At 37.6% G+C, this 15,011-nt stretch overlaps 1 protein-coding gene across 1 annotated transcript in view, besides 1 other annotated feature; it reads left to right on the top strand.

Moving 5' to 3' along the window:
• Window positions 1-15,011, top strand: part of F8 (coagulation factor VIII) — a 186,932-nt gene that overhangs the window by 42,031 nt on the left and 129,890 nt on the right. The window contains exons 7-9 of the mRNA NM_000132.4: window positions 11,141-11,362; window positions 14,006-14,267; window positions 14,552-14,723. Of these exons, the coding sequence (NP_000123.1) occupies window positions 11,141-11,362; window positions 14,006-14,267; window positions 14,552-14,723 (656 nt within the window). The remainder of the gene's footprint in view (window positions 1-11,140; window positions 11,363-14,005; window positions 14,268-14,551; window positions 14,724-15,011) is intronic.
• Window positions 12,232-13,431: an enhancer, noted in NCBI's record as "P300/CBP strongly-dependent group 1 enhancer chrX:154195537-154196736 (GRCh37/hg19 assembly coordinates)". NCBI's record gives its function as "activates an origin of replication core promoter dependent on BRD2, BRD4, P300/CBP, MED14 and CDK7 cofactors, with strong dependence on P300/CBP, by STARR-seq in HCT116 cells {active_cell/tissue: HCT116}" and the evidence as "EXISTENCE:reporter gene assay evidence [ECO:0000049][PMID:35650434]".

The raw sequence follows: 15,011 nt of genomic DNA, 5'->3' as shown, positions 1-15,011 counted from the left end.
GCCACCACACTCAGCCCCACTCAATTTCTAAACGAGCTCACTGAAATAGAGCAGTCACAAACAAACCCAGACTGTGAACATGAGAATAAATACCTAATTCTTCAATGTGTAGACAGGGATGCACATCTGCAAAGAATAAGAATAGCCTAAGAAAGACAGCCTCAACAAATGAACAAAAAATCGTGCCAGTGACTAATCCTAAAGACATGCAGGTGAATGATCTGGTAGACAAAGAATTCAAAATAGCTATTTTAAGAAAACTCAACAAACTTTTATAAAACACAGAGAAACAATTCAGAAGTTTATCAAAGAAATTTAACAGAGAAATTGAAGGAATAAAAAAAGTCAGAAATCCTGGAACTGAAAAGTATAATAAAAAATGACACATGCAATACAAGACATCAGCAACAGAATTGATCAGGCAGAAGAAAGGATCAGCAAGCTCAAAGACAGGTTATCCAAAAATACAATCAGGAGGGGCTTCAGGATGGTTGACTAGATGCATCTAGTGTTCATCCCTTCCATGGAGAGGAACCAAAGTAGCAAGTAGATAATTATACTTTGAATAGGTCATCTAAGAGAGAACACTGGAATTCAACAGAGCAGTGACAGGAAGCATTGAAAGCAAGGGAGGAGAGAGAAATAAGGCCTGTTTGCCTGGGATTGGCTGGGAGTCTGGAACAGCTTCCTAATGTGGGGAAAAGGTAAGAGACCCTTAGTGTTCCTCATTTTCACCAAGGACTCTTGCAATCCTAGCCACAGGAGAGCGCCTTATTCCTTGACAGCACAGAGACTAGCATAGGGAGTTGCCTAAAGACCGTGTGAAGGCATTGCAACAGAGAGCTCACGCTGGATTCTGCAATTCTCCCAAGCAGCTGCAGCACAGCACCATTTTGAGAACACAGCCCACACATCCTGCCCTGCTATGATGGCCGTGACTTAGGCAGGAGCCCTGAGCAGTGATCCTGCCCCACCCAGCAGAGGAGTGCCCATGCATTTTCACATATTCCAAGAACAAATTCCACTACCTACAACCACTGCTGCTGCAGGCTGCTGTGGGGCCAAAACACTAGTGAACCTTGTGCTCCCAAGCTACCTGCCTACAGCTACTCCCTGAGAAAGCAACCCCACCTTCACCAAGAGCAGGGCTATAGCACAGCTACTGCTGCACCCCAACCTGAGCATTTTGCTAGTGACCTCGGTATCACCCCACCCCTGCATAGCACAACCAGCACCTCACACACCACCAAGGAGCCTGAGGGCAGGTTCACGTAGCCCAGCTCTACCTGCCCCCAGTACCCAAGCATATCATCCAGGGGCCTAGGGATCACTTAGCCCTGTCCACCACTGGTGGCACCTGAGCACCTCCTGGGGTCTGAGGTCAGGCCCACTCAACCTGCCACTACTGCCACAGTTAGCACTCACTGCATGCACCACTTGAGGGTCTGGAGACTGGCCATGCGATCCATAGCAGCCACAACCAACGCCAGCACAGACCACTTGAGATTCAGGTTGTTTCATTGCTATGATTGCCATCAACCATGCCACTTTGCTGCCCAGGAACTTGAGAACCCACCCACCCATGTGATCCATCAATACCACTTCTGGCACCCAAGTAAACCACTTGGAGGCCCACAAATCAACCTGCCTGGACCTAAAACCAGTGCAATCATATGCCACCATGGTACACCAAAGACAAGCACACTCAGCCCACTGCTGCCACCATTGGGGCCTGAAGACAGGCCTACCTGGCATCCCACTTCTCAGAAAAACTTCACCACAGCCTCCACTAATAACCACACCCTAAGCCACTGAGAAAATCACAAATATCACTGATGCTGTTTAGAATCTTATACAGAGGCTACTACATTCACCGAGAATCAAAACCGAAGTGCTCTACCCAAGCAACACCACAGATACATCTTCAGGAAAAAGTTCTTTCCTACAAAAGCAAATTTTAAAAATTGGAAAAAGTGATTATTACACCAGATGTGCAGATATCAATGTAAGGACACAGGAAACATGAAAAATCAAGGAACTATGACACTCCAAAGGAGCACAATAATTCTGTAGCAAGAGATCCAAATAAAAAAAATTTAAGATGGGTACAAAAAAATAGAAAGAATGAATAAGACCTGCTATTTGATAGCACAACATGGTGACTATAGTTAATAATAACTTAATTGTACATTCTAAAATAAAGAGTGTAATTGGATTGTTAATAACTCAAAGGATAAGTGCTTGAGGGTATACATACCTCATTCTCCATGATGTGTTTGTTTCACATCACATGCCTGTATCAAAACATCTCATGTGTTCCATAAATATATACACCTACTATGTATCCACAAAATAAAAAAATCATAGTTTACAAGCAAAACAGTATATGTGACCATTGGTTTTTAAGTAAACTGGCCAACATCTCTTTAAAAATTTATGAAATCCTGGAAAAATAATTCCAAATTTTGATACTAAATAAACTCAGTGAGATACAAGAGAATTCTGAAAAAAATACAAAGAACACAGAAAAACAATTGAGGCTATGAAAGAGAAATTTACCCAAGAGATAGATATCAAAAAAGAACCAAACAAAAATTCTGGAACCAAAGAATTCATTGAATGAAATACAAAATAGATTTGAAAGGTTCAACAATAGACCGGACCAAGCAGAAGAGTATCAGAACTGAAATACAGATCTTTTGAAATAACCCAATCAGACAAAAATAAAGAAAAAAGAATTTTAAAAAATGAGCAAAGATTTCATGACATATTAGGCACTATAAAGTGACCAAATATTTGAATCTTCAGTGTCCCAGAAGGCAAAGAGAAAATGAAGAGGTTAGAAAGCCTATTTAATGAAATATTAGATGAAAAATTTCCAAGTCTACCAAGAGATTTAGACATCTAGATAAAGAAGGCTCAAAAATACCCAAATAAATACAATGCAAAAAGGTCTTCTCCAGGGCACATTATAGTCAAACTATCAAAAGTCAAAGAAAAAAATTTAAAAATAGCAAGAGAAAAGCATATAGTCACCTGTAAAGGAGCCGCTATCAGACTAACTGTGAATTTCTCAGCAGAAACTTTACAAGCCAGGAGAGAATGAGAGAGAGAGAAAAAAAAAAAAAAACACCTGCCAGCCAAGGATACTGTACACAGCAAAATTATCCTTCATAAATGAAAGAGAGAGAAAAATATTTTCAGACAAAAAAAAACTGAGGAAATTCATTGCAACCTGATCTGCTTTACAGGAAATGCTAAAGGGAGTTTTTCAAACTGAAAGAAAAAGGTCCTAATGTGTAACATGAAAACATCTGAAGGTATAAAACCCACAGGTAAAAGTAAGTATCCCGACAAATTCAGAATTCTCTAACATGGTAATTGTAGAACATAAATCACTTATATCCTTAGTAGGAAGATTAAAAAACAAAACAGATAAAAATAATTACCATAACCTGTTAAAGAATAAGCAATATAAAAAGATGTAAATGATGACATCAAAAACACAAAATTTGGGAGTCGATTTTTTAAAAAATTTTCTTGCAATCAAAATTAAGTTGTTATCAGTTCAAACTAACTTGTTATAACTATAAGGTATTCTGTGTAAGCCTCATGGTAATTACAAAGCAAAAATTTTTATAATAGATACACTAAAAATAAAAAGCAAGGGATTAAAACATACTGATAGAAGAATCACTTAACCACAAGGGAAGAGATTAAGAGAGGAAGAAAGGAACAAAGGATCTACACAACAACTAGAAAACAAGTAAAAATATGGCACTACCAAGTTCTTACCTATCAAAAATTACCTTGAATACAAATGGGTTAAATTCTCCAACTAAAAGACATAGAGTGTTTGGTTTTTTGTTCTTGCGATAGTTTACTGAGAATGATGATTTCCAATTTCCTCCATGTCCCTACAAAGGACATGAACTCATCATTTTTTATGGCTGCATAGTATTCCATGGTGTATATGTGCCACATTTTCTTAATCCAGTCTATCATTGTTGGACATTTGGACCGCATATTCTCACTCATAGGTGGGAATTGAACAATGAGATCACATGGACACAGGAAGGGGAATATCACACTCTGGGAACTGTTGTGGGGTGGGGGGAAGGGGGAGGGATAGCATTAGGAGATATACCTAATGCTAGATGACGAGTTAGTGGGTGCAGTGCACCAGCATGGCACATGTATACATATGTAACTAACCTGCACAATGTGCACATGTACCCTAAAACTTAAAGTATAATAAAAATAAAAATAAAAAAATTTAAAAAAAGACATAGGGTGGCTGAATGAATTTTTTTTTAAAAAAAGATCTAACTACATACTGCCTAAGAGAAAGACTTTACCTGTAAGGACACACATAGACTGAAAGCGAAGGGATAGAAACAGATATTCCATGCACATGTAAACAAAAAGAAAGCAGGAATAGCTATACTTATATCTGATAAAATAGACTTCAAGTCAAAAACTATAAAAAGAGACAAACAGCCAGACGTGGTGGCTCATGCCTGTAATTTCAGCACTTTGGGAGGCTGAGGCGGGTGGATCACCTGAAGTCAGAAGTTCGAGACCAGCCTGGCCAAATGGCGAAACTCCATCTCTACTAAAAATACAAAAATTAACCAAGCATGGTGGCAGGCGCCTGTAGTCCCAGCTACTCGGGAGGCTGAGGCAGGAGAATGGCATGAACCCGGGAGGCGGAGCTTGCAGTGAGCCGACATTGCACCGCTGCACTCCAGCCTGGGCACACAGCGAGAATCTGTCAAAAAAAAATTGACAAACAAGGCCATTATATAATAGTAAAGAAGTTAATACAACAGGAGAATGTAACAAGCATAAATATATATACACCCAACATTGGAGCACCTAAATATATTAATGTTTGATCTTTGTATTTTCTAGTCTCATTAAAAGTAAGGGCAAAAACTACAATTACTTTTGCACCAACCTAATATAAAGCAAACATTAATAGACCAAGGGGGAAATGAAGACAGCAATGAAATAATAGTAGAAAACTTTAACACCCCACTTTCACCAATGGACAGATCATCCAGACAAAATATCAACAAAGAAACACTGGACTTGAACTGCACTGTAGACCAAATAGAGCAAACAGACATTTACGGAACATTCCATCCAACAGCTACACAGTTCACATTCTTCTCAACTGCACATGGAACATTCTCCAGGAGATTATACATTAGGCCACAAAGCAAGTCTTAACTAACTTTTTTAAAATGAAGTATTTTTTTCCTGCCAATAATGGAATAAAACTATAAATCAACAACAGGAGGAACAACTGTACAAATACATGGAAATTAAAGAACATGCCCCTAAACAAACAATGGGTCAATGAAGAAATTAAAGGAGAAGTTAAAAAATTTCTTGAAACAAATGAAAATGGAAACATAACATGCCAAAACTTATGGGATACAGCAAAAGTAGTCCTTAAAGAAAAGTTTATAGCAATAAATGCCTACATCAAAAAAAAATCTCAAATAAACAACCTAATGATGCATCTCATGGAACTAGAAAAACAAGAACAAACAAAACCCCAAATTATTAGAAGAAATGAATGAATACAGATGAGAGCACAAATAATCAAAATAGAAACTAAAAAATACAAAAGATCAGTATAATGAGTTAGTTAGTTCTTTGAAAAGATAAAAAAAAGTCAATAAACTTTTAGCCAGACTAAGTGATAATAAAGAAGAAAAACAGAAATAAATCAGACATGAAAAAGGAGACATTACAACTGATAACACAGAAATACAAAGAATTATAAGAAACTACTATGAACAACTATAAGCCAACAAATTGAAAAGCCTAGAAGAAATGGATAAATTCCTGGACACATACAACCTACCAAGGTTGAATCAAGAAAAAATGGAAATTTTGAACAAATCAACAATGAGCAACAAGATTGAAGCAAAAATACAAAGTCTCCCATCAAAGAAAAGTTCAGTACCCAATGGCTTCACTGCTGAATTCTACCAAACATCTAAAGAACTAATACCAATTCTTCACAAACTATTCAAAAAATTGAAAAGGAAGAAACTCTTCCAAAATTATTTTAGGAGGATAATGATCATTATCCTGATCCCAAAACCAGACAAAAGCACAATAACAACAAACAACTACAGGCCAATATCCTCAACAAAATACTAGAAATAGAATTCAACAGCACATTAAAAGATCATTTACCATGATCAGGTGGGATTTATCCCAGTGATGTAAGGATGGTTTAACATATGCAAATTAAGAATGAAGGACAAAAATTATATTATCATTTTAATAGACACAGTAAAGGCATTTGACAAAATTCAATATCCCTTCATGATAAAAACTCTCAACAAAGTATAGAAGGAGCATACCTATATGATAAACCTACAAACAAGATGAAACTGAGTGGGGAAAAGTTGAAAGCTTTTCCTTTAAGAACTGGAATAAGACAAGCATATCCACCCTCACCACTTCTATTCAACACAGTACTGGAAGTCCTAGCCAGAGCAATTAGGCAAGACATCCAAATTGGAAAGAAGGAAGTCAAATTGTCCCTGTTTGGCCAGGCTCAATGGCTTATGCCTGTAATCCCAGAACTTTGGGAGGCCAAGGCGGGCAGATCACTTGATGTCCAGAGTTCGAGACCAGCCTGGCAATATGGTGAAACCCCATCTCTACTAAAAATACACACACACACACACACACACACACATGCTAGCCAGACATGGTGGTGCGCTCCTGTAGTCCCAGCTACTCGAGAGGCTGAAGCAGGAGAATCACTAGAACCCCAGAGGCGGAGCTTGTGGTGAGCCAAGATCGCACCACTGCACTGCAGCCTGGGCAACAGAGTGAAACACTGTCTCGAAACAAAAACAAAAACAAACAAAACAAATTGTCCCTGTTTGCAGAAGACATGATCTTATATATAGAAAACTGCCAAAACTACACCAAAAAACTGTTAGAGCTAGTAAATGAATGTAGTAAACTTGTAGTCTACAAAATCAACATACAATAATTGATAGCATGTCTATATGCCAACAGTGAACAATCTGAAAAAGCAATCAAGAAAGCAATCACGTTTACAATAGCTACAAAAAATGTCCAGAAATAAATTAACCAAGGAAGTGAAAGATCTCTATAATGAAAACTATAAAATATTGATGAAAGAAATTGAATAAGACACAAATAAATGGAAAGATATTTCATGTTCATGGATTGAAGAATTAATATTATTAAAGCCAAAGCAATCTACAGATTCAATGCAATTCCTATCAAAATTCCAATGTCATTCTTCACAGAAATAGAAAAACAATCCTAAGATTTGTGTGGAACCACAAAAAATCCCAAAGAGCCAAAGAAGTCTTGAGCAAAAAGAATAAACCTGGAGGCATCACACTACCTGATTTCAAATTATACTACAAAGTTATAGTAACCAAAACAGCATTGTGTTGACATAAAAACAGACATATAGACCAATAGAACAAAATAGAGAGCCCAGAAATACACCCAAACATTTAAAGCCAACTGATTTTCTACGAAGTTGGCAAGAATACATGATGGGTAAAGAACAGTCTTTTCAATAAATGGTGCTGGGAAAACTGGATATCCATATGCAAAAGAATGAACCTAGACCCCCTATCTCTCACCACGTATGAAAGTCAAATAGGCCAGGCACAGTGGCTCATGCCTGTAATCCCAGCACTTTGGGAGGCCAAGGCAGGCAGATCACTTGGGGTCAGGAGTTTGAGACCGGCCTGGCCAACATGGTGAAACCCCGTCTTTACTAAAAATACAAAATTAGCCAGGTGTGGTGGCACACCTGTAGTCCCAGCAACTTGGGAGGCTGAGGCAGGAGAATCACTTGAACCCCAGAGGTGGAGGCTGCAGTGAGCCTAGATCGTGCTATTGCACTCCAGCCTGGGCAACAGAGTGAGACTCTGTCTCAAAAAAAAAAAAAAAAAAAAAAAAAAGAAAGACAGAAAGAAAAGAAAAGAACAATAGATTAAGGAATTAAATTTAAGACCTGAAACTCTGAAATTATTAGAAGAAAACATAGTGTAAGCATTTCATGACATCAATTTGGGCAAGAATTTGTTAGACAAGACCTCAAAATCATGAGTAACAAAAGCAAAAATAAAGAAATTGGATTACATCAAACTAGAAAGCTTCTGCACAGCAAAGGAAACAATCAACAGAGTGAAGAGACAACCTATAGAATGGGAGAAAATATTTGCAGATTATACATCTGACAAGGGATTGATATCTAGAATATATAAGGAACTCAAACAACTCAATAGCAAAAGTCCAAATAATCCTATTAAAAATGAACAAAAGACCTGAATAGACATTTCTCCAAAAGAGACCTACAAATGGCCAACAGGTATATGAAAAATGCTCAACATCACTAACCATCAGGAAAATTAAAATCAAAACTACAATGAGATATCACTTACCCCTGTTAGAATGACTATTATAAAAAAGACAAAATAACAAGTGCTAGCAAGGATGTGGAGACAAAGAAACCCTTATACACTGTTGGTGGGAATATAAATTAGTTAAGCCATTAGAGATAATGGTATAGAGATGCCTCAAAAATTAAAAATAGATCTATCATATTTTCTAGCAATCCCACTACTGGGTATATACCAAAAAGAAATGAAATCAGCATGTTGAAGAAACATCTGCATCCCCATGTTTATGACAGCATTATTCACAATAGTCAAGATATAAAATCAACTTAAATGCCCATCAATGGATGAATGGATAAAGAAACTGTGATATAGATACACAATGGAATACTATTCATCCATTTAAAAAAGATGAAATCCTGTCATTTTCAACAACGTGGATGAGCCTGGAGGACATTATGTTAAGTGAAATAAGCCAGGCAGAGAAAGACAAATACTCCATGATCTCAGTCCTATGTACAATCTTTAAAATTTGATCTCATAGTAGTTGAGATTAGTGATTCTAGGAAGATAAGGGGGAAGTGGGAGATGGGGAGAGATTGGTCAATGGGTACAATGTTACAGGTAGATAGAAGGAATAAGTTCTGGTACTCTATTGCACAGTAGGGTGACAATAGCCAACAATAATATATTGTATATTTCAAATAGAAGAGAGGATTTTGAATGGTCTCACAACAAAGAAATGACAAACATTTAAGGTGATGGATATGATAATTACCCTGATTTGAATAATTACACAATGTATACATGTATTGAAACATCACATTGTACCCATAAATTTGTAGAATTATTTATGTGTCAATAAAAAGTAATACAGTTAAAAAAATAAAATTGCCCATTAGGATAAATAAAAAGACCCACACACAAAATTATCATTGTGGCATTTCAGAGCACAGAGAGAAGATACTTAAAGCTTCTTCTGAGAGGAACAGGACGCATACAAAAGAATGGGAATTAGACTGGCGATATAATTAAGCAATATTGTAAAAGATCTAAGGGAAAAATTATTTGGAACCTAGAATTTTTAGTCAAACTATGAATCAATTTTGGGGGAAGAAAAAAGACATTTTCATATATAGAGGGCCTTAATAGTCACTGAATGTGTACTATAGTAAAACCAGAAACTACATAAAAGAGGAATTTGGGAGATTCAGCAACCCAAGAGAATAATGAAGTATGAGGGGGATGTTTTCTCCTTAGTTCTTTTCCGTATTTTTCAATAATTTGATAATAAACATGCATAATTTTATAATTAAAAAGGAAATTAATTTTGACAACATGCAAGTTCCTGTTCTCACATACCTTATAGTGGAGGGACAGATTGTAGTCAAATAAGCATAATAATACATGCAAAATTACAAACTGAGCATTACTCTGAAGGAAAATTACATAATTCTATGTAAGCCTATAATACAGGAATCTGACCTAGACTGGGGAATCAGAGAAGGCTTCCCTAAGCAAGTACCCCTTGAACTTAGCTTTGAAACTGGGAAAATGAGGCAATGTGAGATGAAGCTGTTAGAGGTATTAGGAATCAAACCTATTGGGGCCTTCTAGTCCTTAGTAGAGAGTCTGGACTTTATTCTATGTGGAATGACAGCCTCCAGTGGGTTTTAGGCTGGCGGATACTACAATCAGATCTGGAATGCAGAAATAGTACACCAGTTTCTTTGTGGGTAAAAGTCTTAGAGGGGAGAATATGACCAACTGTAGGGAGACCTGTAAAAAAAGTTTATCAGTAGCTCAGACGAGATAATGGTAACTTGGATTAAGATAGTGGTAGTAGTAACAGTGAAAAACTAGATACATTTGAAAGCTTTTAGAGCCAAAATAGGAGGCAGCTGTGCCCTTGTTGTTACCAGTGTGGGATCTGAACACATGACTACTTGGGTTCAAATACTGAGCAAATTAATTAACCTCTCTGGGCATCCGTTTCCTCTCCTGCAAGACATGGATGATAATGGTTTCTACATTCATAGGGTTGTTATGAGGAATGAATGAATTAAAACTTGTAAAATACTTTGGACAGTGCTTGACATAAAACAAGTGCTCAATACATATTAGCTATTATTGATTATATTGCCCTGGTCAGTGTCAAACTGCATATGGGAGATGAGAATGGTAACAAGGATAACTCTCACTTGCATATTCAAATGCAGGATGCTGCCATTCACTGTTATAAAAAACTCTGGAAGAGAATGAAGTGATGAAAATTGTAAATTTGGTTTTGAACATGTGGGTTTTTTGAGATATCTAGGTGGAGATGTTGAGAAAGTGATTGGCTGTATGAGCCTGGAGTTCCAGAAGAGGTCAGCAGGGGAGACAGAAGAAGGAGCAGTCTGAGAAGTAGGAGAAAAAAACCCACAGAGATGTTGGCACAGAGGCCAAGGGAAGAGAGAGTTTTAAAAACGAATGAATGGTCAACAGGTGCAAATAAAGACTGAAAAATGTCCATTGGATTTAGCAGCATGATGGTGATTGGTGACCTTGGCAAGAGCTGTTGGTTTGATAGTAGCCCAATGTTCTTGATAAATTTGTTTACAAGTCAAGGTAGCAATAAAGTGTCTAAAGTCAATTTGTCCATTCTGTCCTAGCAAGTGTTTTCCATTTCAGATTCTCTACTTCATAGCCATAGGTGTCTTATTCCTACTTTACAGGTCTGATTGGATGCCACAGGAAATCAGTCTATTGGCATGTGATTGGAATGGGCACCACTCCTGAAGTGCACTCAATATTCCTCGAAGGTCACACATTTCTTGTGAGGAACCATCGCCAGGCGTCCTTGGAAATCTCGCCAATAACTTTCCTTACTGCTCAAACACTCTTGATGGACCTTGGACAGTTTCTACTGTTTTGTCATATCTCTTCCCACCAACATGGTAATATCTTGGATCTTTAAAATGAATATTATAAATATCCAGTCCTACTTTTAATAAAATTTACTGGACAATGTACAGGAATATAGTGTGTTGCTGAAGGGGACATTATAGAGTTACTGTATTAGACCTCAGCCAAGATCCCCTAGTTTCCAGCTTCCAGTGTAAAGTTTTTACCTTGACTATAAAAGGGCTTGAGTATTAGTAGGACTCATGGATTTTTAGTTAAATGTCTGTGATGGAGAAAAGATGGCTTATGGATGATTGAGGTGGGAAAATGAGGAGAATAGTATGCCCTTGGTTTCTCAGCCTTATCCCATTAATTACGCTCCAATATTATGGAGAGAGGAACTGCAAGTTGTAGCTGAAGAGATTTTTTTTTTTTTTGGAGAAATCTAGGGAAATGGGAAAAAAAGGCATTGTCCAGATTGCAACTGTAAGGGCTCCACTATATCATTAGTAATGCCCAGAGCAGTAAATAGCAAATATGACAGGCTATTGTAGAGCTTGACTTCAGACACCAGACAGCCAGAGGCACTCTGTAGATACCTGGCAGTAGATGAGAGACACCTGTGAAACTGAGGGCAGGTCAGGAGCTAGTGAATTTTAGAAGTAACATGGGATTGAAAGGACTATTTGGTGGGAACTTTGGAAAGGGTCAAAGGTTCTGTGTAAGCAAATTAGGACGATGGTAACTACAGTTTTAAATTATTGTTAATGTAACTTTATTTGTAACTGCTAGTTGTGCAAATTCAGATTGCATCATCATTTCACCCCAATTTTCCTTACTTTTGTATTTATTCTGCTAACTCTTAATCTTGGATCAACCTAATAACCCTCTTTCTCTACCCCTCTCGTGGCCATTGAAGGCTCTTAGTCAGTTTGTGCTGCAATAACAGTATACCACAGAATGGGTAATTTATAATGGACAGAAATTTATTGGCTCACATTTCTGGGGGCTGGGAGGTCCAATATCAAGTTGCCTTTTTCTGCGTCTTAACATGGTGGAAGGCATTATATGACAAAAGGGCAAAGAAAGGGTGAGAGAGAGCAAGAGGAGGGTGAGCTCACTCCTGTGATAACAAATCCACTCCCATGAACACTTTCCCCAGATAACTGCATTAGTCCATTCATGAGGGTGGAACGCTTATGACCTAAACACCTTTTATATGTTCACCTCTCAATACCATCACGATGATAATTAAATTTCAATATGAGTTTCGGAGGGGACAGACATTCAAACCATAGCAAGAGTTATTGGAGAAAAATGTCGGAGAGGCCTAATCTTTTATATTTAATAGCATTTCTTTCTTCCTATTACTCTCATATTAACCTTCTCCTCAGGTTCCTTGGTTGACTTAGAAAAGAGAATTGATCTTGCCATGCATCCACCATTTTCCTCCTTATGTTCTATTAGTGACCTTGTTTATTGTCTTCTGTAGTGATTAAGAATAGAAATCTCTCTTCCCCATGTGTCACATAATATTTATGGAATTTTGACAAGACCTTAGTGGACAAAATGTGTCATACTGAATGAGTAACAGGAAGTTGATGCACAAACAACATTCTTGCAGGCACAGAGGAATAGGTCATTTACTTGTATATGATCATTGTCAATCAATCATTGTCCAGTTGGACCCCGATTCAGTTTATTTTTTGTTTTGTTTTTCTCCTTTTCACAGATTCTATCCACTAATTTTAATCTTTATTTTTCAGAAAAAAATGCTTTATCTTATTGAACCTCAGACCAAACACTTTGTTTTTCGATGCAGACTGAGTTATGTTTAAGGCTACATGAACCCCAGACTAGTTGTTTGCTGCTCCTAAAACCTTCCCTGTTCCTCATAATCAAGTAAACAGGTCTCCCTTCTTAGAAGTATTTGATCTTCAAAATTGCCCTGTGGTATAAATAGGGCAGGAATTATTATTATCCATTTTACAAAGCATGAAGATGAGACTGAGAATGTTGAATACATTTGCCATAGGGTTTACAACTAGTCACAGGCAGACATGCTCTTAAAATATATATCTCCTTGATTTTAAGTTGTATCTTGTCATGGTTTTATGAACTTGGAACATGTCTTAAAGTTTATATCTACACTAACATTTTTCCCAATAAGCTGTTATTAAATCAATGATTTGTGGCAAGAAGGGATAGTGATGTGGAAAGGGGGGGTACTTAGGGGAGAGCCTGGAAGGCCTAATAAGAGAGAAAGAAGTCATAAAAGTTAAGGCAAGTGATATGGTTTGGATATTTATCTTCACTGAAATCTCATGTTGAATTGTAATTTCCAATGCTGGAGGTGGGGTCTGGTGGCAGATGTTTGGATCATGGGGGTGAATCCCTCATGGCTTGATGCTGTCTTCATGATATTTGGTCATTCAGAAGTGTGTGGCAACTTGCACTCTCTGTCTTGCTCCTGCTTTCACCATGTGACATGTCTCCTCCCCCTTCACCTACCCCCATGATTGTAAGCTTCCTGAGACCTCCCTGAAGCCAAGCAGATGCCAGCACCATGCTTCCCATATAGCCTGCAGAAACATGAGCCAATTCAATCTCTTTTCTTTATAAATTACCTAGTCTCTGGTATAGAACAGCCTAATATAGCAAGACACTCTGACATTGTTTGGTTTGTCTGACTCCAGATGGCATGGAAGCTTATGTCAAAGTAGACAGCTGTCCAGAGGAACCCCAACTACGAATGAAAAATAATGAAGAAGCGGAAGACTATGATGATGATCTTACTGATTCTGAAATGGATGTGGTCAGGTTTGATGATGACAACTCTCCTTCCTTTATCCAAATTCGCTCAGTTGCCAAGAAGCATCCTAAAACTTGGGTACATTACATTGCTGCTGAAGAGGAGGACTGGGACTATGCTCCCTTAGTCCTCGCCCCCGATGACAGGTAAGCACTTTTTGACTATTGGTACTCTCTCTTCCCCATACTCAAAAAGTTCTTACCAGTTATTCAAACCAACAAATCCTGAAGCCATGTTTAAGGTTAGGTACAGGTATGGAATCAAATGGCAAGGGTATTAACATTTGGAAACTAACATAGCTGAGCATCAGAGAAGCTTGTATTTTTCTCACTCCTTGCCTTGATTGAATCATATAAGCTGTTTTAGAGTTGGATTTGAGCCTACCTAGAATTTTTCTTCCCAACCTCTCATCTTTTTTTCTCTTATACAGAAGTTATAAAAGTCAATATTTGAACAATGGCCCTCAGCGGATTGGTAGGAAGTACAAAAAAGTCCGATTTATGGCATACACAGATGAAACCTTTAAGACTCGTGAAGCTATTCAGCATGAATCAGGAATCTTGGGACCTTTACTTTATGGGGAAGTTGGAGACACACTGTTGGTAAGTTGAAGAAAAGATTTAAGGTCAGGTAAGAAGAAAAAGTCTGGAGAGTTTTGAGTTTCTAAAATACCTCATAATTCAGCCTTGTCTCCAATGGACATGATCTTTTAAAAGCTATAAATGTTACACAAATAATAGCTGATTGTATGTATTTAAAGTTTGAGTATATAGAATAAAAATTTAATGTCACCCACTAAACTCGACACTCCTTTGAAATACTGCTTAGACTTTGATACATATCCTTCCAGATCTTTCTCCATTAATTATGTCATATAGGAGTCAGCAGAC

This window comes from Homo sapiens, chromosome X, assembly GCF_000001405.40.
Source record: "Homo sapiens chromosome X, GRCh38.p14 Primary Assembly".
Taxonomy (NCBI): Eukaryota; Metazoa; Chordata; class Mammalia; order Primates; family Hominidae; genus Homo; species Homo sapiens.
The sequence above is the reverse complement of the archived record's forward strand: the minus strand, read 5'-3'. Positions and strand labels throughout refer to the sequence as shown.